Source organism: Homo sapiens, chromosome 2, assembly GCF_000001405.40.
Source record: "Homo sapiens chromosome 2, GRCh38.p14 Primary Assembly".
NCBI classification, from domain to species: Eukaryota; Metazoa; Chordata; class Mammalia; order Primates; family Hominidae; genus Homo; species Homo sapiens.
In genome coordinates this window covers 196,361,176-196,386,167 of record NC_000002.12, presented here as the reverse complement: position 1 = coordinate 196,386,167, position 24,992 = coordinate 196,361,176, and the positions used below count along the sequence as shown (strand labels likewise).

Sequence of the window (24,992 nt, the reverse complement as noted above, 5' to 3'; positions counted from 1 at the left end):
AGGTGGTTTTCTTTTTGTTGAATTCACTCATGTATCCTAAGATCCTGGCACAAAGTAGGCACTCAGTAAACAGTTATTGAGTTAATTAGTCTTTCTACCATCTCGTTAGTCCGATTCTTCATGAAGTTATAGCCTAAGTTTCTCCTTTCTAAACAGTTTCAGGGTTGAGGGTAGAGGTGGCACATTGGTGTATGTTAATAGGAAGAAGTTCTAGATACACAGCTCTACACTGTTGTGACATTTTTCACATTAAATGAGGCATTTTACATTCAATGAAACATACCTAATAGGTTTTAATAAATAGGCTTCCAACCAAGTTAGTTTCATTTGGACCAAATTCCTAAGTAATTAGGAAAAAAAACAAAACCCATGTACTACAGTAGTTATTTTAATCTAGACAAGTTATATTTGCATTTATATTGCACTTTACAGTTTGAAGAGCAGCTTATACCAAAATTTCCTTGGATTTTCAACCACCATGACTGGTCTGAACAAGTATTTTCAGTCCCCATGTGCTCCAGTTCCAGAGAAGTTAAAGGACTAGCTTCAGATCACAAAAGTGATTCTCTAAGACCTGCCACCCAGGTCTTCTAGCGTCCTACCTTAGGTGAGTAGAGTGCTCTTTTTAATAAGAGGCTTTTGGTATCAGGTTTAATAAGAGGCTTTGGTATCAGGGCATAGGGCTTAATGGAGAGGGATGGCCAATGATACATGATTTTAGGAAGAAGTTCTGCATGATGGAAAATTAATTACCTTCTAGTGAGATCATATTTTAAAAATTTGCTTTAATATCTCCATGTTCAGTGGTTTGTTGAATACTTTTCATTAAGTAACTAGAGCTTTTATATTCTGATTAAATAAATGAGCCGGGGCTTGTAAGATGGGGAAGGCTTTTACTGTCTTAATTAAATAAGATTATGATTTATTGCATATGAGATACAGAAAAGAAACCATCAGACCAGGCACAATGGCTCATGCTTGTAATCCCAGCACTTTGGGAGGCTAAGGCAGGACGATTGCTTGAGCCCAGGAGTTCAAGACCAACCTGGGCAACATAGCAAGACCCTGTCTCTACAAATAAAAATTAGCTGGACATGGTAACTGGTGCCTACAGTCTCAGATATTTGGAAAGCTGAGGCAGGAGGATTGCTTGAGCCCAGGAATTGGAGGCTGCAGTGAGCTGTGATTGTGCCACTGCCCTCCAGCCTGAGCGAAAGAACAGGACCCTGACTAAAAAAAAAAGTGAAAGAAACAAAAAAAGAAACCATCTAACAGGTGGCTGAGGAGATTTATTGTTAGTTTCATGAAGTTACTGAGAATTGCAGAGAAGGATAGATTAAATAAAAGTATTTAGGAGAAGTGATTAACATTTTATAAAGCATGCTAAAGAAGTTAATCAATTGGCAGCCTAGTGTTTCTGTTTTTTGTAACCTTAATTCAGGATGTCATAATGAATGAATGTAAAAAATACTAGGGAGGGGCAATAAGTGTTTTGTTCATCATTTCATTGTGTAAATACTTATGAATAACTCTTCAGACTTCTGCTATTTTATTTGCCACCTTATGATTAAAACAATTTTTTTTTGGAGACAGGGTCTTGCTCTGTTGCCCAGGCTGGAGTATAGTAGTGCTGTCTCGGCTCACTGCAGCATCTGCCTCCCGGGCTCAAGTGATCCTCCCACTTCAGCCTCATGAGTATCTGGGACTGCAGGCGGATGCCACCATGCTTGGTTAATTTTTAAATTTTTTTGTAGAGATGGGGTCTTTCTATATTATGCAGGCTGGTCTCAAACTCCTGGGCTCAAGCGATCCTCCTGCCTCGGCCTCCCAAAGTGTTGGAATTACAGGTACGAGCCACCGTGCTCAGCCTAAAAGAATTTTTTATGTAGCCTGTGAGAGCTGGGATCAAGCCTTAATCATTTTTTTTGTCCCCAGGTTCCAGTAAATTAAAGCCCATGGAAAGGGCTTAATAAATGTTTATTGCCAAGTGAATGAGTAAGGTTAATGAACAGTGCTGAATGAGCTTGTTAAACAATCCAACCTTCAATCAGGGAGGTCAAGATTTAATTTCTTTTTGGTTTTACACAGATGGAAGAGTGAAGAAATATAATAGCATCTGAATGACTGAGCAGGCACTAAGCTAGTTGCTCACCTCATCTAACCCTCAGTAACCTGTTGAGGTTGTACAATTCCCATTGCCATTTTACAGATGAGTAATATGAGACACAGTCACACAAGTGATAGAAACAGGATTTTAACTCAGGGAATATATTTAACCACTATACTGAACTGTTTAACCTTTTGCCGTGAAATAAATGAGAATATGATTTCCATGTTCACGTCTTAGGGATTTTAAATGAGTGATGTGTGAAGGGCCACTACTGAATGATTTAGTTTTCTTAGTTGAAATGTTCACCTTCCATTTTATTCCTCAGCCCACCTCAGCCTAGCTTTCAACTCCAAACCTTGACTGTCACTGCCCCACTGAGGACATTGGAGCCCTTGTCATTGCCAACTGGGTGAAGTGGGGCTTTGTCCTCTTAAATCTTGACAGTATTTGATGCTGTTGATGTCACTGTTCCCTTCTTGAAAAGGTCTACTCTTTAATCTTTCCTAGACCCTTCTTTTCTAGTTACCTGCCTGAAGTTATTTCTGTTTTGTCCTTTGCTCTCTCTTCTTCCACCTTAGTTGGTGTTCCACAGACTTTTCTCTCCTAGGCTCTTTTCTCCTAATTTTGCTCTTGGCACCCTGCAATCTCATCTGTTTCCATGGATTCAGCCAATACCTATACACTTACATCCCCAATCTTCATTCTTTTTCTGAGTGCCATTATTGTATTTCTAGCTGTGGACTTGGCATCTCCACCTGGATTGGCCTCAGACCCCTCAAATTCATTGTAGCCCAAACAGAATTTGACCACATTCTTCATCCTCCTTCATACGCCTCTTTAATGTTGCTGGCAGCAGTTACGCAAATCAGACATTTGAGACTTATGCTTGCATTTTTCTTCATCACTTCCATCCAGGTGGCCTGGTCAATTAACCTCTTCAACTTATCTATATCTGGCTCCACTGCTTCAACTTTTATTCCTATCTTTGTTATCTTTCTCCTACCTTGAACCACTCTTCTGACTGATGCTTCTGCCACCAATTTCCTCTTACTGCAATTCATCCCCCATACTGCCACCAGAGCCACCTGTCTTATGAAAAATATAGTTTTGTCCCTGATCATGAAAGTTAAGCTTAGTGAAAAACATTTAAAATACAGAAAATAGAATAAAATGAAAGCTACTTGTGGTCCTGCTACCATTTGCAATATCATTTTTACTAGTATTGAGGCTGGTTACATTTCTAAAGGTCAGGGTTATCATGGAGCTACCCTGGTTTAGAACATTCATGTAAAGCAAGTGCCATTTCCGTTGGAAATGCAGTTGCTGTAGATGCTTTTTAAAGCCAGGTTATTTATAAATAATGAAGACAAAGTAGGGCACGTATTGCTACAAGACAGAGAATACAATCCGCTATTATATTGTACAGACTCTCATTCTATCCTTTTTCATGTTATATACCTATTCAGAAATTCTTTCTGGGGTTTACTTAGGGCTTCATCAACTAGAGATTTACAAAATCTGAATACATCTCTAGTTTCTAATTTTTTAAAAAACTGTAAGATAATGTTATTACATGTTTTTTTTTTGCCCTATGTGAATAACCAGAGGCCTTTTTTCGATTAAGTAATATAGTCATTTGGCCCAAAAAACTTTCTAAATGCAAAGAAGTAGTTTGACAGGTTTCCTTTCAACCTCTCATGCATTTCCAAATTTTTCCCTTTTTTTCTCACAGGTAACAATGCTCATTAGTTTCAGGTTTATTCTTTCAAAGTTTTTATACATATATGGATGGATATATATTCCACACATGTATATATATATATATATACACACACACACACATACTATATGTATATACACACACACATATACATACATGTATATCAATAAGCAAATACAACTATGTAGAAATTTTCACCTCTTTTAATATAAAAAATAGCAAAATATATGCACTATTCTACACTTTGTTTCACTTATATATTGTTCAGATTTTTCCAGGTCAGAACATAGAAAGAGTCCCATTCTTATATATGTGCACACTTTTATTGTTGAGATGTAACATAATTTATTAACTGGTATATTTGATGGGTTAAGTAGTGGACATTTAAATTGTCTCCAGTTTTCTCTATTACAAACAAATAGTGCTGTAATGAATAATCATACATATATGTATATATTTAAATCACATTAGTGTTTTGTCTTGCTTAATATTACGTTTAATTTTATTTCAGTTTAAACTAGTTAAAGACTAATGTCAGCTGTGTCCTGCAGTAGATTTCTGCAGGAAATCTGGCAGTTTAGGAAAGCTGTCTTCTTTATATCACACTAGACTTCTAGTCATGGTCCACAGAGAACCTTATCATGGGGATGTTGCCTTACTAATGACCCTTATAACCTCAGCTGGGTCTGATTTCTGGGAAACTCTTGCCCTCCTGGTAGGAGGCAAATGTCTGCTTCCTGACTTCCCAGAACTTTTCGTCTACTTTTATTTATTATAATATAAGGAACATTTTCTGGCTATTAATAGACTGGAACCTGCTTCTTTATAATCCTGACGCTATGAGAAACCAGTGACCTGCTTGAAAATTTCACTGTTGGTTGATTTTGGGTAGAATTTTATATGGACATTGATTTTACTTTATTTTTCTATACTGATTTACAACTTATTAACAGCTAAGGCACCAAAGCATTATGAAATGAAGATAAAACCTTCATAGAAGCTACTATCATAGTCCACATGGTTAGTAGGACATGCTGAATTTAATCATTTTTCTAGTAGGAGGGATGACTTTGTGCTGAACTGATCCTTAGACTCAGTGACGTGAGAACCATGTGGGGTGATTGGTGAGGTTCATGGTCACAGAACAGTGTCTTAAGGGACTTTAGACTTTCTAAAGAGCATCATGCTTTAAGCAACTGTGCTTATTGTAAATGGCAGCTGAGAAGCCGGGTAGGGTTTTCCTACGGGGCTTAGGTCAGGGGTTTTCTTACCCCAATCTAATCTTCAAGGGATGATTGTGAGGAGAAGCACTTCGGGAATGGTAGAGTGAGAACCCCCACCACCACATTCTGCTCCCCAAAAAAGCAATGAAAACACTGGAGAAAATTGCAAAAGTCAACTTTTTTAGAACTCTGGAAATCAGCCAAAAGCTTTCAAGTACATGAGGAGCATTTATTCAAGAAACAGGTTGAACTCAGCACAGTAGGCTTTGGCTGTGTAACATTTTATTATGACTTGCCTTTTATCATTCCTGTCTCCCCAGCTCTGCAATAACTGAAAACCAGAAGCTCTGCAACCATGGTAGTCATGAAAACAAACACACCTTACGAGCCACTAACGGCAGCAGAATGGGTTTGGAGCTTCCCCAAAAACCTCATCCCTGTTAGAGAATTGTCACTACCTGACATGTCTGGCAGCTCTCTGGAAAAGCCCCATTTGCAGGACTTTCGTTAACCTGGCTCATAGCTTCTTTGGTGCAAACAACCCTATCACCAGAACACTTTTCAAAAACAACCAATGACAGTTGTTTAACACTGCACTTACCTGAGGTGGCAATACCACTTGGGGCACATAAGGGACTAACAGAAAAAAACGGAAAAGGACAATATAGAGAAAGAGATGTGCATAGCAGGCTTTGAAAAGCTCAAATATATTCCTGGGAATTGGGAAAGCCAAATGCATACAAAGGGCTGTGTGCATACCCAGGAGAGACCTTATTTTCTTCTGTGCCTGACCTTCAGGCTCTGTGCAAGCAGGAAGTAAAAGTTAAGGCAGAGCTATAAACTGCTTAGAGTACTGAAGGAGTGTTCCATCAAACACACACAGCCCATCAGCAAAGGCTGGGGGACTTACTGATTGAGTGCATTTAAGCAAATCTTTGTGCATTTGTTATCCAACCACTGAGTGAACTGAGCAGGGACTTAAATAGCCACACAGGACAACTGCTTCACCCCTATGAACTTCTAATAGGGATATTTTCTTAAATAAGCAAAATGTCTTTATTATGCTTAATATTATACACAAGAATTATCTAATATTAAAATTTCACTGTTTCTCAAAAATAATTGATTTAAGCAAAATCCAGTTAACAATTTATTTATTATGTCACCTTTAATGTAGAGCAGTACCTTCTCCCCTCATCCTTTTTTTTTTTTTTTTGCTGGAGAATAGCATACATGCAGAGAAGTAAAATCATCATAAATTTATGGCTCTTGCATCTTCTCAGTAACACTCTTCCTTAAAGGTAACCATTGTCCTGACTTCAAACACCATAGGCTAATTATGTCTCTTTTATTGTTTTATTGAGGAATTGCACATATTTAGGAAAGTCCTTAAGGTGCCATAATCTTTTTGTTTTTTTTTTTTTTTTTTTGAGACGGAGTATTGCTCTGTCGCCCAGGCTGGAGTGCAGTGGTGTGATCTCAGCTCACTGCAAGCTCTGCCTCCCGGGTTCATGCCATCCTCCTGCCTCAGCCTCCTGAGTAGCTGGGACTACAGGCGCCCGCCACCACGCCTGGCTAATTTTTTGTATTTTTAGTAGAGACGGGGTTTCACCATGTTAGCCAGGATGGTTTCGATCTCCTGACCTCGTGATCCACCCGCCTCGACCTCCCAAAGTGCTGGGATTACAGGCATGAGCCACCACGCCCAGCCAAGTTGCCATAATCTTAAGTGTACTGTGTAATGAACATTTACGTATGTGTAGACCTGTATAACTGCCACCCAGATCAGGACATAGAGTATTCTCAGCACCTCAAAAGTCCTTCTCATACTCCCAATCACAGCCTCCTTAAGGCTTGATTGTAGGTTAGTTTTGCCTGTTTTTGAACTGTAAATAAAAATAGACTTATTTAGAGTGCATTAGTTTTATCTGACTCTTTTCACTATCATTTTTTCCTTTCATTTTTCACAGTGCCAGTGACAACTGTATCTGTTGTCCTTGAGAATGTCTCACATTCAGGATTTGTTTTTTTTTTTGCTCACTGGTATTGTCTTTTAACTTGTTCCACTGACTCCCTTATTTCTTATAAATTGGAGGTTAACCAAAAGGGTCTTGAATATCATCAAGTTAATGTTTTTCCCCAAGGATGCTTCTTTGGTGGTGCTGTGTACTTCATGTTGCATTCCATCAAAAGTTACACAAGAGTCTGACTGCCCCATTCTTCGTGATGCTAAGATTGATTAGTGGGTTCAAGTTGTGGCAGCGTAATGTCTTCGTTAGAATGTTTCTCATTGATTTTTTTGTCTAATGTTTTCAAATATATTATTTTCTTATGCATTGAAAAATTATGAATTTTGTAATTATCTTATTTCTTCTGTACTTATTTCCTGGAATTCTTATGTAAAAAGCACTTCTCCTCATGGCTTGTTAGTACCTTTGAAATACTGTTCATTCTGGAAAAGCAAAATGATGCTTAATTCTTTAATTTTCAATGACAGTTTTCAGAATATGTGGGCATTGGTGCCCTAGTTATTGTCAATTGTGACTAATGAGTTTTACTTTTATTTTATTTAGGGGCTACATATATTTTAATATTGCTATGAACTCGTGTTTAAACATTTTATTTTCATGTGTTCTAATGAATTGCAGGGTTTTGAAAATATTCTAATTGGGCCAATGGGGAAAGCTATACAAGAAGGTGTTTTAAGAGTAGTTTTATATTTTATCCCTGGTATCTCCACTCTGAACACTTATTCTCTCTGTAGGTAACCATTTGTGGTGGCTTCTTCTTTATCATTTCCGTGTTTCTTTTCATAAATAAAAGCACATTGTATGAAATTGTGTGTGTATGGGGGTGGTGGTGCAGTATATATGCTATTTCAGCCCTAGGCAATGGGAATTAAAGTGATTTAGCCAAGATGACAAAAAGATGACATGGTAGGGCCTGAATTTAAACTTAGGAATCTGACTTCTGAGCTTGGGTTTTTAACCACTCTGCTCTACTTATGGCAGTCCCATTGACTCCCAACCCAAGGAAAGGCCAAAGAGGAGACAGTTGTGATTTTGCTACTCTTAGAGTAATACGTGCAAAACTAATCTGAACACAGATTTAACAGTGGAACTTGTTTTTAAAATAATTGCAGAAATGCTTTGTGAGACTGCATCTGAGTAAACTTGTGCCAAGAAAATATATACTTCTTGATTTTCTTTCCTTTTTTTCTCTTTTGTATTTTGCTTGTTTGTTTGGTTCACATTTTCTAATTTGGCTTAGCAGTATTGACTTAATCTGCTGGTAAGAAACAGTGAGAAAAACTTATTTTAAGTGCTTTCAGATGTTGCAATTGTTATTGCATGAGAAATTTGTAAAATGGAAACTTTGCTTCATTCATGCATTAACTATGCTGAGGATATTTCAGGAAAATCTGCATGATATGGTTTGGCTATGTTCCCACCCAAATCTCATCTTGAACTGTGGCTCCCACAGTTCCCACGTATTGTGGGAGGAACCCAGTGGGAGGTAAGTGAATCGTGGAGGTGGGTCTTTCCCATGCTGTTCTCATGATAGTGAATAAGTCTCATGAGATCTGATGGTTTTATAAAGGGGAGTTCCCCTGCACAAGCCCTCTCTTGCCTGCTACCATGTAAGACGTCCCTTGCTCTTCCACCATGATTGTGGGGCCTCCCTAGCTATGTGGAACTGTGAGTCAGTTAAACCTCTTTCCTTTACTAATTACCCAGTTTCGGGTATGTCTTTATGAGCAGCGTGAGAACAGACTAATACACTGCATCAGGACAATTTTTAGTACCTTATATCAAGAATACAATTGTTGCAAGTAGATAACTTTAAAACTGACAAAAAAATCAAAATGACCATAATATAATTTGCCTCTTAGGTTGTGTTTGAGACTCTCTCTTCGGGATTCTCAGAATTTACTCATTATTTTATCACTGAAAGTTTAAGCTACTTTTCCGTGGCACTAACTAGCGGATAGCTTTGGCCAACCTGGTTTCTCTTTGATTTAGGAATTAATGTTATTAAAATTTCCTTGGCATGTTTATGAAATTTGAGTATGATCAAACAATAATTTTTATAGAGTTTGTAACTCTATGTTTTTTCCCCCAAGGAATGAAAAACGATCTTAATTAATTCATTCATTTATTTTTATGTATTGATTTTTTTTTTGAGATGGAGTTTTGCTCTTGTTGCCTAGGCTGGAGTGCAGTGGTGTGATCTTGGCTCACTGCAACCTCCACCTCCCGGGTTCGAGATTCTCCTATCTCAGCCTCTTGAGTAGCTGGGATTACAGGTGCATGCCACCACACCTGGCTAATTTTTGTATTTTTAGTAGAGACGGGGTTTCATCGTATTGGTCAGGCTGGTCTCGAACTCCTGACCTCAGGTTGATCCGCCTGCTTCAGCCTCCCAAAGTGCTGGGACTACAGGCGTGAGCCACCATGCCCGGCCCTTTTTTTTTTTTTTATGACAGAGTCTTGCTCTGTTGCCCAGGCTGGAGTGCAGTGGTGTGACGTGATGTTGGCTCACTGCAATGGCCGCCTCCCTGGTTCAAGCAATTGCTACCTGCCTCAGCCTCCTGAGTAGCTGGGATTACAGGTGCGCACCACTGCACCCAGCTAATTTTTGTATTTTTAGTAGAGATGGGGTTTCGTCATGTTGGCCAGGCTGGTCTCAAACTCCTGACGTTGTGATTCATCTGCCTCGGCCTCCCAAAGTGCTGGGATTACAGGCATGAGCCACTGTGCCCAGCCGAAAATCTATTTTAATTTATGTTTTGTTGTTGGATTCTTGTTTTTTACTTCTCAGTATGATGAGATTATTTTTGATGTGGCTTTTTGTCTATTATATTCTTAGTATCTCTTCAAATTGTTGTTTAAATAGTTGCTCTTAAATATACAAATTTGGAGACCAATAAGTTATGAAGTACTTCACACTTCTGGTTTGGGGCAAAGTTTGAGGGTAATAAAAGCTAAGATTCAGAATGTGTTATTATTCTTTTAATCAAAAATATGTATTGTGCCCTTCCCACCATTAGGTAATTGTTAGGAAAATGGAGATTAATAAAACGTGGTTCTGAGCCTGAAGGAACGTAGACTGATAGAGGGAATTGGACCTGACAGTGTATCCAAATGGACCAGATTTTCCTAACTGGCATAAGAAGGTACATGCGAAAGTACTTTGAATAGTAGACATATAAGCTTCAAGAACGTGTTCATCAGCCTTGGAAAAATGTATGGCATTGGTGATATAGAACAAGTGTCATTCATAATATCTGCATAACTGCAATACAGTAATAAGTAGAGGCTATTTCACTTTTATTCTGGACAATCTCCATTAGAAAAATTGAAATAGATGATGTTTCTCTGTAGACGTTTTCCCACCTCTCATGTTTGATTCCTTTTTCCTAGCCATTGCATGATACCAATATCCACATCTTTTTCCACTGTTGTGTTCCCACTAATAATCAATTTTGATTCTCAAGTATACACTTGCCAGTCTTTTACCCGTCCTGATGTTTTGAAAAAGGTTACCACTTCCTTTTCTTTCAAAACCCAGTGGTAACAAGCTGTGAAATTAAAAACATACTTCCCAAACTGGCAAAAACTATTATTTCAATGAAAAAAGTAAAAGTAGAATCTATTAAAGTTTATAGAGAAACTGGAAATATCTGTGATCATGAATGCTCACAATGATTGATTGCAGTGTGATTTCTGTGTGTGTCTGTCTGTGTCTGTTTCCAGTCAGAGTTAGAGAGGCTCTAAGATAGACTGGGACTCCGAATTCTTTTAATATTTATGTTTGATTTAAATTGATGTCATGATTCCATTTGGGACAGTTCTCTTTAAGTTGATATCTGCTGAATACTTGAAGTTTTGAATACAACAGCTCAACAGATTGAAACTAGTTTTCTTTTTCTTTTTTTTCTTTCTTTTTTTTTTTTGAGACTGAGTCTTACTCTGTTGCCCAGGCTAGAGTGCAGTGGCATGATCTCAGCTCACTGCTACCTCTGCCTCCTGGGTTCCAGCAATTCTGCCTCAGCCTCCCGAGTGGCTGGGATTACAGGTGCGCACCACCACGACTGGCTAATTTTTGTATTTTTTAGTAGAGACGGGGTTTCACCATGTTGGCCAAGCTGGTCTTGAACTCCTGACCTTGTGATCTGCCCACCTCGACCTCCCAAAGTGCTGGCATTACAGGCATGAGCCACTGCGCCCGGCCAAAACTAGTTTTCATGTGCCGTCTTTGCTTCTTTTTTTTTTTTTTTACTCTTCCCTTACTGGATGTATCCCACGTCTATGCTTTGTCCCCTAGAGGTGACCTTATGGTGGATGATACTTGTATTTTTTAGAATCTTGAGATATGAGTTGTTGATAATACTTTGTGGATAGCTACAAGGTCACTTTTTGGGGAAACTGCTTGATAAATGAAAACTTCTTTCTGAATATTTCATAAATCCACAGTACAAATAAGATTTTCAAATGTCAAAATAGTTGATGATTAAAGATAGATTTGCAAGGGCAGTGCAGAGGATGTAGAAAGATAAGAGAGAGATGCCAGCCTTCATTTTTTTCCTGTATTACTGTTTCTGTATTTGTCTGTGACACTAAGCCACAATGAAGCGTTTCTTTTCTGATTAGTAAGGTAATGCAAGTTCATTGTACACCACTTGGAAATTATGGACAAATATGAAGGACTTAGGTTTTCCAGCCAAGCTATAACTACTATGAACATTTTGGCATATTTCTTTTACAACTTTAAATATAGATTGTATACATATTTATTTTATAATCCAGTTAAGCTCCTATTGTACATATAATTTTGCAGTATGTTTTTCCACTTATTATCTCATGAACGTTTTCCATGTTATTAAAAATTATTTGAGAATATCATGGGATGGCTACATAATACCCTATAATATGACTGTACCACAATTTACCTTTTCATTAATTTCTGGACAGTTATTTAGCTTCTAATTATTATGAATCATGACATATTATTCACCGTTGAATTTATATAATCTTTGGTGGCACATATTTATTTATTTATTTATTTTATTTTATTTTTTTTGAGACGGAGTCTCTCTCTGTCGCCCAGGCTGGAGTGCAGTGGCGGGATCTCGGCTCACTGCAAGCTCCGCCTCCCGGGTTCACGCCATTCTCCTGCCTCAGCCTCCCAAGTAGCTGGGACTACAGGCGCCCGCCACTACGCCCGGCTAATTTTTTGTATTTTTAGTAGAGACGGGGTTTCACCGTTTTAGCCGGGATGGTCTCGATCTCCTGACCTCGTGATCTGCCCGCCTCGGCTTCCCAATGGTGGCACATATTTCTTGAGCATGCACCTTATTTTGCTTATCAAGCCATGGCAGATAATTTTTTTCATGTATAATCATTACTTTTTTGTTTGTTTCCCCTTGTACTCTTATCCTTTACTGAAGGAAGTTGTTAAATTTTAAAAACAATAGCTTTTTTTAAGTTTGAGATGTTTGTATATAAACCCTGAAATAGGTTAGAAGGTAAAATTACAAATCCTGATGACAGCAGTTTATGATGGAAATGCTTACGGACCTTTAAATATAGCTTGGTAGGGAAGGGTGGGAGTGAATCAAGTTGTTACAGTTTGTTCCAGGAAGGACATTTTGGATGAATGCCATCTGCTTTTACAAAGATGTCCTGTGATTTTAGTTATATTTGCTCCACTTAACCTTTCCCAAAGTGTGCTGAAACAAATGTATGTGGTACACTAAAAGAAATTAACATAATTATAATTCCTTTGGTTAATTGAAAACAGGCAATTCTTTTTCTCCAAAGATGTTACTTGAATTACAAACAAAGTACTGAATTTGAACATGGTTTGGGCATGTTAGATAACCTAGATCAAGGAGACTGCAGAGGCCAGTTCATCTAGCCAGCTGCCTTCCTGGTGGACTATCCTTTATCTATTTTGTGTACTTGTCAGAGTGAGAAAATTCCAAGAACTTCTCTAGATTTTATTTCAGTGATTTAGAGTCTTCCTTGTTAAGAATAACAACACTCATATCTGAGCTTTTACTGCAGCAAGCGTGGACTCTGCACCAGGTCGTGTGCTGCTGACTTTATGTAGCTTCACAATCCTCTCAAAATTGTACTGGCTGTGCCTCGTTATCCCAATTGTACAGATGTGAAAACTAAAGTTTAGGGAGTTAAATCACTTGGCCAACCTCACACAGCTAAAAAGGTGTCCATTTTTGGCCGCGGAACCAAAGCTGTTCTGGACAGCCTACAAGCTGTCAGAGAGTTCTTAGTCATATAGTTAACCGATTACATGAGAAAATGTCTTAAAAATTGGGTTTCTAAAAAAAATGTTAAGCAAATAAAATGAACAAATTTAGTGTGCAACTTATAAGCATCAGAAAGCAAATTTGGACACTTAATAGTTGACTTCCTAACTCTTCTCAAAGGGGGACACAATTAGGTAGGGAGGAAAAAATCCTCATTTTTATTCTTCCTGGCCAGAGATCTTGGCAACTGGGAAAGTGGTTGCTATTATTGTGACTTTACCCATTGTATGCACAGATTCATACTTCCAGGTTCTCCATCCTACACCTTTTATAAACACCATGTTTAACTTGGAAAGGGAAAATGTTATTCTTGGCAACACTTATATACCAAAAGTAGAAACTGTAGGGGACCACCAAAGGATATTATCAACCAGGAAGCAGATACCGTAAAGAATATATCTAACATTTAACTTTAATACTGTTCACAGTGCAGGTCTTCAATAAGGGAGAAAATTATGATTCAAAGTTTACTAGGAGGCAGGGAAACCACAAAATGAGATCCGTGTCCCATGTATTTATGACTAGAATAATTTACTGATACTTTGTGCTTCTTATTACTGTTATTGCCACATATCAAGAAAATCATTAGATAGTTGATAGGGACCTGGCATTAAGATGAGCAAAGCAGTTAAAGGACCTGCTTTTTGAGAATAGCAGAATGAGAGACCATAGTTTCATGTTAGCAAAAATGCACAGATAGGGTACAGATATTAATACAATGATAGCATTCGTCACTGAATCCTCAAATGTTAAGACTCAAGGGTCTCTTTGAAAATTAAAAGAAAAATAAAAGTGAAAAAGTACTACTTTACACTGTTGAAAGTAAACTTTTAAGAAATGTTACTAAAATGTTATTCTAAAAGGGGATACAAGCTAAAAAGAAGTTGGTAGATTCACAGAAAACAGAGATCGTTCATTGCTGACAGATTCACAGTAAGTAATTATGAGAAGTTGAGGATATTCACTTTTGTATTAAAATCCTGGGTTAGGAGAGGCTCACTGGACTAACCAAGAAGGCCGGTTCTTCTCTGTAGAGTTCACCAGTGCTTCGCAGACTACCTGTGGACATTGATCTTTTGTAAAATAGAGTGAAAATAAGCTAGTAGAAAAAGAAATGGAATAAAATACAAGATCTATAAAATATGAGTCCAAAATTTTATTATTAGATTGAATAGACATAAAATTACTCTGACAAATTTCTGTAAAAGTTTCTAAGAGCTTCCAGTCAGTTTCTAGACCTATCTCAGATTATAAACAACCAATTCATGGACCAGCACTTACCCATGGCCCACATTTTGTGGAGCACTGTTCTCAGCTTAAATAGAATCTAAAACTTTGTTCTCATGTTAGTGCCCCTTTCTGTCTTCTTTATTCCTGTACTTGCTTGTCCTTTTACTATGCTTTTTTATTCTTTATTTAAAAGTAGATTGAACATAATAATTGTGAGCTGTTAAGGTAGGGGACACATTACAGGTACAGATGTATGTCTGTTTTTGAGTTTAATAAAATGAATATGCAAAATCAAAAATGACATGTACCTATACGTGTACATTAATATATGGACTATTGGATTTTAAGACTCTACACCATTGTCTGTTAGAAATGTGGTTCAAAGAGTACCTGTATCAGAATTAGCTGAGGTAACTGTTTAAAAATGCAGACTTTAGGGGGCAGAGCAAGATGGTGGAATAGAAGCCTCCACTGATTGTCCTCTTACAGTAACACCAAATTGAACGACTCTCCACACACAAAAAAACACCTTCATAAGAACCAAAAATCAGATGAGCAATCACAGTATCTGGTTTTAATTTCATGCCACTGAAAGAGGCATTGAACAGGGTAGGAGAGAGAGTTTTTCATTGCTGACACTGCATCCCCCCTATCCTCCAGCAGCAGCAAGTGGCACAGAGAGAGAATCTGTGCGCTTAGGGGAGGGAGAATGCAGTGATTGTGGGACTTTGCATTGAAATGCTGTGCTGTATTGTCACAGCAGAAAGCAACGCTGGGCAGAACCTAGCTGGCACCCACAGAGGGAGCATTTAGATCAGCCCTAGCCAGAGGGGAATCACTCATTCTAGCAGTCAGAACCTGAATCCCAGGAAGCCTCGCCACCATGGGTTAAATTGCTCTGGGGTTGTAAATAAACATTAAAGGCAGTCTAGACCACAAGGACTGCAATTCCTGGGCAAGTCCTGGTGCTGTGCTGGGCTTAGAGCCAGTAGACTTTGGGGGCTTGTGACCTAGTGAGACACCAGCTGGGGTAGCCAGGGGAGTGCTTGTGCCATCCCTCTCCCACCCCCAGGCAGCACAGCTCACAGTTCCAAAAGAGACCCCTGCATTCCACTTGAGGAGAAGAGAGGAAAGAATAAAGAGGACTTTGTCTTGCAACTTGGATACCAGCTCAGCCACAGTAGGATACGACACCAGACAGAGTCTTGAGGCTTCCATTCCAGGCCCTAGCTCCTGGATGACATTTTAGACACAGCCTGGGCCAGAAGGGAACTCACTTCCTTGAAGGGAAGGACTCAGACCTGTCAGGATTCATCACCTGCTGACTAAAGAGCCCTTGGGCCCTAAATAATCAGCAGCAGTATCCAGGTAGTACTCACCATGGGCCTTGCTGAGACTTGGAGACATGCTGGCTTCAGGTATGACCCAGCAGATTCCCAGCTGTGGCAGCTAAGGGGAGGGACTCCTTCTGCTTGAGAAAAGAAGAGGGAAGAGTAAGGGGACTTTGTCTTACTGCTTAGGTACCAGCTTGTCCACAATGGGTGAGGACACTCCCCACTGGTGTCCTCAATTCTAGGTCTTGGCTTTTAGATGGCATTTCTGGAAATACCCTGGGCCAGAGGGGAGCCCACTGCTCTAAAGGGAGAGTTCCAGGCCTGGCAGCATTCACCACAAGCTGACTAAAGAGCTTTGTAAGCCTTGAATGAATATCAGTAGTAGCCAGGCAGTGCTCACCATGGACCTAGGGCAGTAGTGGCCATAGGGAGAAATGCCTCTGTTTGTGGAAAGATGAGGGCAGAGTGGAAGGACTTTGTCTTGTGGCTTGGGTGCCAGCTCAGCTGCAGTGGAATAGAACATCAAGTATATTCCTAAGGTTTCCTACTCTAGGCCCTGGTTCCTTGATGGCATCTTTAGGCCTGCCCAGGACTGAGGGGATTTTGCTGCCCTGAAGGGAAAGACACAAGCTTGGCTAGCTTTGTTATGTGCTGTGCTGATTGTAGAGCCCTAGGCCCTTGAGTGAACATAGGTGGTAGCCAGGCAGTGGTTAACATGTGCCTTGGGTGAGACCCAGTGCTGTGCTGGCTTCAGGTCTGACCCAGTGCAGTCCCAGTGGTGGTGACAACAGGAGTCCATGTGTCATTCCTCTCTTAGGTTCAGAGAGCTCATCAGTGAGAGAGAGAGAGAGAGAGAGAGAGAGAGAGAGAGAGAGACTCCATTTGTTTAGGAGGAGTAAGGGAAGAGAAAAAGAGTTTCTACCAGGTAATCCACAGAATTCTTCTAGATCCTATCCAAGACTACCAAGGTGGTACCTATAGGAGTCTGCAAGACTCACGCTGTTACTAGGCTTGGGATGCCCCCTAATGAAGATGTGGCTGCAGTGATCAAAAACTTAGATCACAACACCAAAGTCCCTTAAATATCTGGAATACCTTCAAAGAAAGACAGGCACAAACAAGCCCAGACTGTAAAGACTGCAATAAATACCTAACTCTTCAAAGCCCAGACCCTGAAGAACATTCACAAGCATCAAGACCACCCAGGAAAACATGACCTCACCAAAGGAACTAAATAAGACACTGGTGACCAATCCTGGAGAGGCAGGTATTTGTGGTCAGTCAGACAGAGAATTCAAAGTGACTGTTTTGAGGAAACTAAAAGAAATTCAAGTAAACAAAGAGAAGGAATTTTGAATCCTATCAGATAAGTTAAACAAAGAGCTTGAAATAACTAAAAAGAGTCAAGCAGAAACTCTGGAGTTGGAAATGCAACTGACATATTGAAGAATGCCTCGGAGACTCTTAGCAGCAGAATTGATCAAGCAGAAGAAAAAATTATCTTGAAGACAGGCTATTTGAAAACACACAGTCAGAGGAGACAAAAAAGAATAAAAAAGAATGAAGCATGCCTACAAGATCTAGAAAACAGCCTCAAAAGGGCAAATCTAAGTTATTGGCCTTAATCAGGAGGTAGAGAGAGATAGTGGTAGAAAGTTTATTCAAAGAGATAATAACAGAAAACCTCCCAAACCTAGAGAAAGATATCAATATTCAAATACAAGAAGGTTATAGAACAGCAAGTAGATTTAACTAAAACAAGACTACCTCAAGACATTTAATAATGGAACTCCCAAAGGTCAAGGATAAAGAAAGGATGCTAAAAGCAGTAGGAGAAAAGAAACAACGTACAATGGACTTCCAATATATCTAGCAGCAGAGAAGTGCACAGCAAAACTGCAATGAGATATCATCTTACCCCAGTTAAAATGGCTTTTAAAATGCTGGTGAGGATATGAAGAAAAGGGAACCCTTGTACACCTTGGTAGAAATGTAAATTAGTACAACCACTATGGAAAACAGTTTGGAAGTTCCTAAAAACTAAACATTGAACTAACATATGATCCAGCAATTACACTGCTAGGTATATATGTAAAAGAAAGGAAATCAGCATATCGAAGAGATATCTGCACTGTTTGCTGCAGCACTGTTCACAATAGCCAAGATTTGAAAGCAACCTAAGTTTATAACAGCAGACGAATGGAAAAAGAAAATGTGATATATATATATGTATCATATATATGTATCTCATATATGTATCATATATATGTATCTCATATATATATGTATCTATGTATCTCATATATATATGTATCTATGTACCATACACACACACACACACAAACACACACACACACACACACAATGGAGTACTATTCGGCCATGAAAAAGAATGAGATCCTGTCATTTGCAACAACATGGATGATACTGGAGGTCATTATGTTAAGTGAAATAAACCAGGGACAGAAAGACACACTTCGCATGTTGTCACTTACTTGTGGGAACTAAACATGAAAACAATTGAACTCATGAAGATAGAGGATAGAATGATGGTTACCAGAGGCTGGGAAGGGTAGTGGGTTGCGGGGGAAGTGCAGATGGTTTATGTATAAAAAAATATGGTTAGATAGAATGAATAAGATCTAGCATTTGGTAGCACAACAGGGTGACAACAGTCAACAATAATTTATTGTACATTTAAAAGTAACTAAGAGTATAATTGAATTATTTTTAACACAAAGAAAGGATAAATGCTTGAGGTGATGAATACTTCATTTACCCTGATGTGATTATTATGCATTGTATGCCTGTATCAAAGTATCTCATGTACCCTGTAAATATAGGCACCTACCATGTACCCACAACAATTAAAAATTAAAAAATGCAAACGCCTAAGACCCATCCTATACCTACTGAATCACAATTTCTGTAATTTGCTCTATGGAGTCTGAATTTTAAACATGAGTCCCAGATGATTCTAAGACACGTAAAATTTAAGAACTACTCTTTCAGCATGTGGGAATCTGTGCGATATGTTTAATTCTGAATCATACACTATGGTGGTAAAGTATAAATGCCAATTTTGTTCACTAATGTGAATATGTTAGAGTCTCTGAATGTGTTCTTTCAGGAGAGCATCTCCAGGGTATATTATTGTGTTCATTGCTATATGCAAAGCATTATTGGAAAAGGGTAATGTTCCCATTTTACAGACAGAAACAACATATATATACACAGATAAAATAATTTTACATCTTTCTCTACTAGTTTCATCTTAATTGAAGATTTTTGCATGCTTAAAACCTATTCTTAAATTCCCCCTGGTTTACAATAATATAATTTAATTTGGAATGAAAAATAACATAGCTGAAGAACCCATTAACTGTGCAGTTAAAGAGTTATAAATTGAATTAGAGAAGGGGGATTGTATTTAAACCCCTTAATATTTCACTTGGAAACATTTGTGTTTCCATTAATATGGAGTTAATGCAACGTTAACACAAAGTTCACCATTAAGGAAAAATATAATACTCTTGATGTTAATATGAAATTCTCCCATGAGGAAAAATACTACATCCTAAGAGCTTCAAGACATATGCCAATCAAATAAAGCAGATACCACTATAGCTGGGTCTTTAATTCTGTGGTGGAAGTAGGTGAAGGGAAAAGAACTACATTTATTCTGATTTGTGTATAGCTTTCAGAGTTTTTGGCACATTACATATGCTTGTGGGTATTGATCTGTTAAACATAGATAACTGAGGGTCATTTATTTTTGTGTACGAAAGTAATGGATCACAATGCTGATATTTTGGCTTGAATGGACATTCCTAGAGGTATTTCCTTGTCCACCGAAGATGAGGAAATCAGTCCTTTGGGAATTTTCTTCTCTTCCAAAGCATATTAATAGTTTCCCAGATAAAACTGAAAAACTTTAAGAAAGTAACAAGTCCTTAATTACTTTTACTAAACTCATTGTACCACACAAATTTCTTCTGAAATTGTGCAGGGTTCTGGGAAATCTCCCTCTGCACATTTCAGCCTTGCTGTGGTGCTCCCTTGATCAAGTTCCTGGAATTCTCTGAGCTCAGTTTCCTCATCTAGGGGCTAAGAACACTTCTCAGAATTACTGTGAGAATTCTTTCAGTGGATGATTCTTAATTACTGAGCGTAATTCTTGACATTTAGTGAATGGTAGGTAGTTATTGTGGGGGGAAGCTGTAGAAGAGTGGCAAAAGTATGGGTAAGCTTTGATGTTATACAGACCCAAGATTTGAAATCCAGCTAGTTTCTGGCTATGTGATCTTCTGTGAACAAGTTATTCAATCTATCCCCTAGTTTTCTTCATTTATGACATAGGGATTGTTACTCTGGTGACTCTGAGGATTAAATGAGTGTGTGTACACACTTATAGGGCCTAGCATGTATTCAGTTATTATAACAAATAATAGTCATGATCGTTTTTAGTGAGTTTAACGGCCTACTTTCTAAGCCAAATTTAAAAATACACGTATTTTGTACACATGTATCAACTTGGGTTTAGATTTGAGGTCCTACCCTTGATATTTTAGCAGCTACCTCACTTTTGTATATATTTTCAAAAAGCTTTCTGATTTATACACAGACTGATGTGTATTCCCATTGAAACATTTTGGGAATCTGAAAACAGAGTGACAACGGGACAAGCATTCCTCTGGCTGCTTTAGGAACACAGGGTTCGAAGAAAAAGTCTCCAATAAAAATTGCAGCAGATAGGCAGACACATCCAGTGAGGCTTCAATAATGTATATAAGTGATGTCAGCCTCAGAGGCATGCAAAATGCAAAACACAAAGGAAATTCATAATGGGATTTTCAGGAAAAGGGTTGTTCCTTCCTGATGTGCTAACCTTGATTCTAGTTGTGTTTTTAGTACCAGCATAAAGATAGGTGGAGGAGGCACTGCTGAATTTTTCCATTGCCAATTTGTGTTGTAATCTAAGGACTGTGTCTTTGCTCTTCCCTGCTTTACTTGCAATAAATATTCTGCGAGCTTTGGGGAATGAGCTACTTTAGTTAAGTGATGTCTTTAATTGTGTATAATTAATCCATTCAGCATCCATAAATCACATTTCCACCCATGGGCATCCTTGCTAGATCAATAGCTTTGAATGTTGAAAACTGTAATAATCAGGTGGGCTTGCAGTGGGAGATCTGATGGAAATGGGAAAGATAATTGGGGGATAATTTCCATTCCTTCATTCTTAAGCTTCCCTTTCTATCCCTTTACATCAATTCTTGAAATTTCTAGATGCTGTTCTCCTTCACCAGCCTCATCCCTTCAGAGCATGGTTCATATGCCAATGCCTTGAGTGAGCTTTCTCTTTTTCTCCTGACCACGTCATGTTGATGGCCCATCCATACTCTGAGGATCTTTTCTTTTTCCTTTGTAGCATGTGTCATAATTGTAATTAAAGAATTCATTTTATATTTATTTAATGTTTTTCTCTTTAAAATATAAGCTCTGTGAGGGCAGGGGCTATGTTTATTTTGTTCTCAGCTACCTCCTAGTGCCTAGCACCATATGATATCATAGTAAGTAAAAACATAAGAGTGTTTTGTTGATAAAAAGTCGTTATTAATGTGCTTCCCCATTTTATTTGTTGCTCTTGGTTTTGCTGGACTTTCCCCACAAAGGGGTGTGGTTTGGAGAAGGGAAAGCATATGTGAATTATGATACTCTGGATATACCTTCTCAATATAATCATTTGCTATGATTAAAGTAGTACTGGCTGAATTACTTGTGCTTAAAAAATTACCATCCCAGTGAAAGAGTACATGTGTGATGGCTTGAAATTGAAGCTCCAACATTCATCAACTGCTGTGGCCCTACACTTTTTAGTTTCTTTCTTGGTTAGCTGGGAAATCTAATTCCATTATGATAGTGTCTTATGCTGGGGGGAAGTAGGTTTTCTCCATATAGGAAAATAGATAGTCACATGTAGGTGTTGGTAATACGTGGGTAATCCAGAACCTAGAGCGCAGGTAAAGTGGTATATGTACCAAATGTTATGGTATTTGGAAGGCAAAGAATCATTGCTTGGAGGACCAGAGTTATAGGAGCCTCAGGTGGGATTCAGAGACCAGGGAGTGAGTGATAGTAAGAGCTGCACCATAAGCAGAGTAGGTGAGTCTCTCTTCTACCCAACAGAGTCTATTGGTCCATAACTAGAAAGTAGTCAAGAGCTCAAGATGATACTCTATTCCTGCCTGGGGATAAAAACAGAGAGGCTTACATTGTTAAGAAGTCTATTTGTTGTCCATAGGCTGTAGCCAACTTTGATGCCAAAAAGAGGAAATATATTTATTCTTTCTAGATTTCTTATTCTTTCTTTTCCTCCTTTCTTTTTCTTTTTAGAGACAGGATCTCACTCTGTTGCCCAGGCTGATTAGCATTGGCAGGATTGTAGCTCACTGTAGCCTCAAACTCCTGGGCTCAAGCGCTCCTCCCACCTCAGCCTCCCGAGTAGCTGGCACTACAGGTGCATGCCACCATGCCAAGCTAAGTTTAAAAAACATGTTTTTGTAGAGATGGTGTCTCACCATGATCTTGAACTCCTGGCCTCATGCGACCCTCCTACTTTGGCCTCCCAAAGTGCTTGGATTATAGGCGTGAGCCATGGTTCCTGGCCTAGATTTATTTTTCTTAATCTCCCAGTGGTGACTGAGCCCACTGTGGACCCATTGGCCACCTAAATTAGTGAGGTTGCTGGCATTTTCAAGAGTGTTATATGAGGAAGGCAGAGTATCTTAAAAGAGCTTGGGTTTAAGTGTCTTTCAGATGAGACTTTAAATCCTGGCTGTTATCACTTCTTCTCGGTGAGCCTTAGTTTTCTCATCTGTAACATGGGCCTAATGACACTACTGACCTTATTCTTAGAGCACAGTGACACTCATTTGATACTATTTTTAAAGCATCTTCTATGTGTCCCTGGCACATAGTAACCATTCTGAACATGCTTGCTATTATTGTTGTTTGCTAGGACACTGGAAAGTCATAGTGATTTGTTCTAAAACTGGGCTGGGTTTGCATGTCCAGAAGAGGCCTGGACAGGGTGATGGTGATCCTGGAGTGCCTGGCTTGCTGTGTTCACTCATCCAATTCCAGAATCAGCCCAAAGCTCTGTGGCCCTTCGAAGCTTCAGGGCAAACTGTGTCTGGGTTAAGGGAACAATAGAGAGGTAATTGCAGCCATCAAATGTAGTGTGAAGCTTAAATCTAGTTTGCATCTTTTCACAGCAAATGTACCTGACATGTAAGACCATTTCATCTAGTTTTCCTGGAGGTTGCTGGAGAGAGATGGTCTTATAGCCTTTGATTACATTAAACCAGCACCTTGTAATTGCAACCACTGACACAGGTGGGCTAACAGCTTCAGAAAGCCCCTTTCTCCATTAAAGAATGGTGGATCTGGACTGGGGATTTCCCTACCCCAACTCTTTCCAGTATAAGACAAGAGCATTAGCTAGATTGATGATTCTATCTGTTTTCACATTAAAAGTCAGGTTTGAAAATAACTTCTGCATTGATAACCGCATGTTTGAATTTTCATTAAAGCTATATTACGTTTGAAAAAGCTTTAGTCCTTTTTCACAGTTTGAAATCACAAGTCCACAAATTTCTCTCTGGATTAGTTAAAATACTGTAAGCCCATTTCAGTAACCTAAATGAATGCTATGTCTGATTTATGGTAATGGTAAGTTGGAGTTCTCAGGTAGTGACCACTCTATTCTGAGTAAATCAAATAGCAAGCTCCCCTTTCTGGGATTGCAGTCAGCTTGTTTGACATCAGCCCACTCTGTGTGTGTGTGTGTGTGTGTGTGTGTGTGTGTGTGTGTGTGTGTGTGTGTGTGTGTGTGTGTACACATAACTCATTCTTTGGAATTCTCCCATGGAAAAGCAAAGGAAGGAAGCTGAGGGGAGGATGGGGCGATTGCATCCTGTACCCTTTACAGGGGTGTGGCCACGACTGCCTCAGCCGAGGGGATGTGATACATTTTTTCACTTAGGATGCCTGGACAGTGATAAGTCTTGATGAAAGGCAGGAGTGGCTTTTAGTGTCATTCATACTGGACAGGAGCCTCTTGTTAGAGACCTGCCGGAATCCTGTCTAGTATTTCATTTCTAGAACTTTGGGGGAAGAGGAAGAGAAGCAGGAGCATCCGTGAAGTGGACCTGCAGAGCTTTCACAGCCACCTTAGAACTCCAGACCCGCCTTGACTTCAGTTCAGCTCTGGCTGCTCCTATGAATGAAACTGCCACGTGGGTTGGCCAGGTGTATGATTTTAAGGAAGAATGCCATGTTTCTTCTTGCTGCTGCCTAAGTCTCATTTGACTGATGGATTTTAAAACCTTTGGGATTATATGAGGTAAGATATTGGAAAGTGCTGTGGAATGAATTCCACTGTCACTTGATTTCCTTGTCCAGCTGTTTGGGATTTACAGTTTTCTCTGCCTTTCACTTTGAAAAGCTCTTAAAAGTGGTCCCCTCCCAGCTGGCTGAGGGACAATTATTAACAAACTATGTGGCACATTTATCACTTGGCAACTGGATATAAGAGATCAGTGCTGAGATTAAAGCATGCAAAACTGTTACATATAGACAGTCACCTCATTGTGAATTTTTAGGGTTCTGCTTGTTTTAAATGGATTGTGTTGTTAAGTACAGGTTCTACCTACAAGAAAATGCTTTTGAAAATTGCCTTAGGTTGAGTCTAAATAGATTTCATGGCCGGTTATCTGTCCCTGGAATAATCATGGTTTTTGACAAATTTTAAAGTTCTTCTCTCAGGGAGTGAGATGTGAAAACAGATTTACTTTTAGGGTAAAGTTCAAATGGACAAGTATTCATAGACATCCATATTCTAGAGACTGTTGATTGAATGACAGTCTTACAGCAACACTTTTAACTTGAGAATAAAACCATGGTTTTTATGTAGTATCTTGTGGCAACTGTGGCAAACTGACTCAGTTTTCTATAGACCTCTAAAATTTGCAAGCAGAAA

The 24,992-nt window shown here is 38.9% G+C and overlaps 1 protein-coding gene across 12 annotated transcripts in view, besides 3 other annotated features; it reads left to right on the top strand.

Moving 5' to 3' along the window:
* The window catches only part of HECW2 (HECT, C2 and WW domain containing E3 ubiquitin protein ligase 2), a 399,483-nt gene that overhangs the window by 207,387 nt on the left and 167,104 nt on the right, over nt 1–24,992 (top strand). For 2 of the 12 annotated variants that reach the window (NM_001304840.3, XM_006712648.5), the window contains exon 1: nt 23,991–24,356. The exons of the other annotated variants lie outside the window; for them this stretch is intronic. The gene's annotated coding sequence lies outside the window, so the exon portion shown is untranslated. Of the gene's footprint in view, nt 1–23,990; nt 24,357–24,992 lie in introns of those variants that run through there. 12 annotated transcript variants of the gene reach the window in all.
* Nucleotides 1,134–1,253: an enhancer, noted in NCBI's record as "active region_16904". NCBI's record gives its function as "activates an Ori minimal core promoter by ATAC-STARR-seq in GM12878 lymphoblastoid cells {active_cell/tissue: GM12878}" and the evidence as "EXISTENCE:reporter gene assay evidence [ECO:0000049][PMID:35858748]".
* Nucleotides 5,634–5,773: an enhancer, noted in NCBI's record as "active region_16903". NCBI's record gives its function as "activates an Ori minimal core promoter by ATAC-STARR-seq in GM12878 lymphoblastoid cells {active_cell/tissue: GM12878}" and the evidence as "EXISTENCE:reporter gene assay evidence [ECO:0000049][PMID:35858748]".
* Nucleotides 8,488–8,727: an enhancer, noted in NCBI's record as "active region_16902". NCBI's record gives its function as "activates an Ori minimal core promoter by ATAC-STARR-seq in GM12878 lymphoblastoid cells {active_cell/tissue: GM12878}" and the evidence as "EXISTENCE:reporter gene assay evidence [ECO:0000049][PMID:35858748]".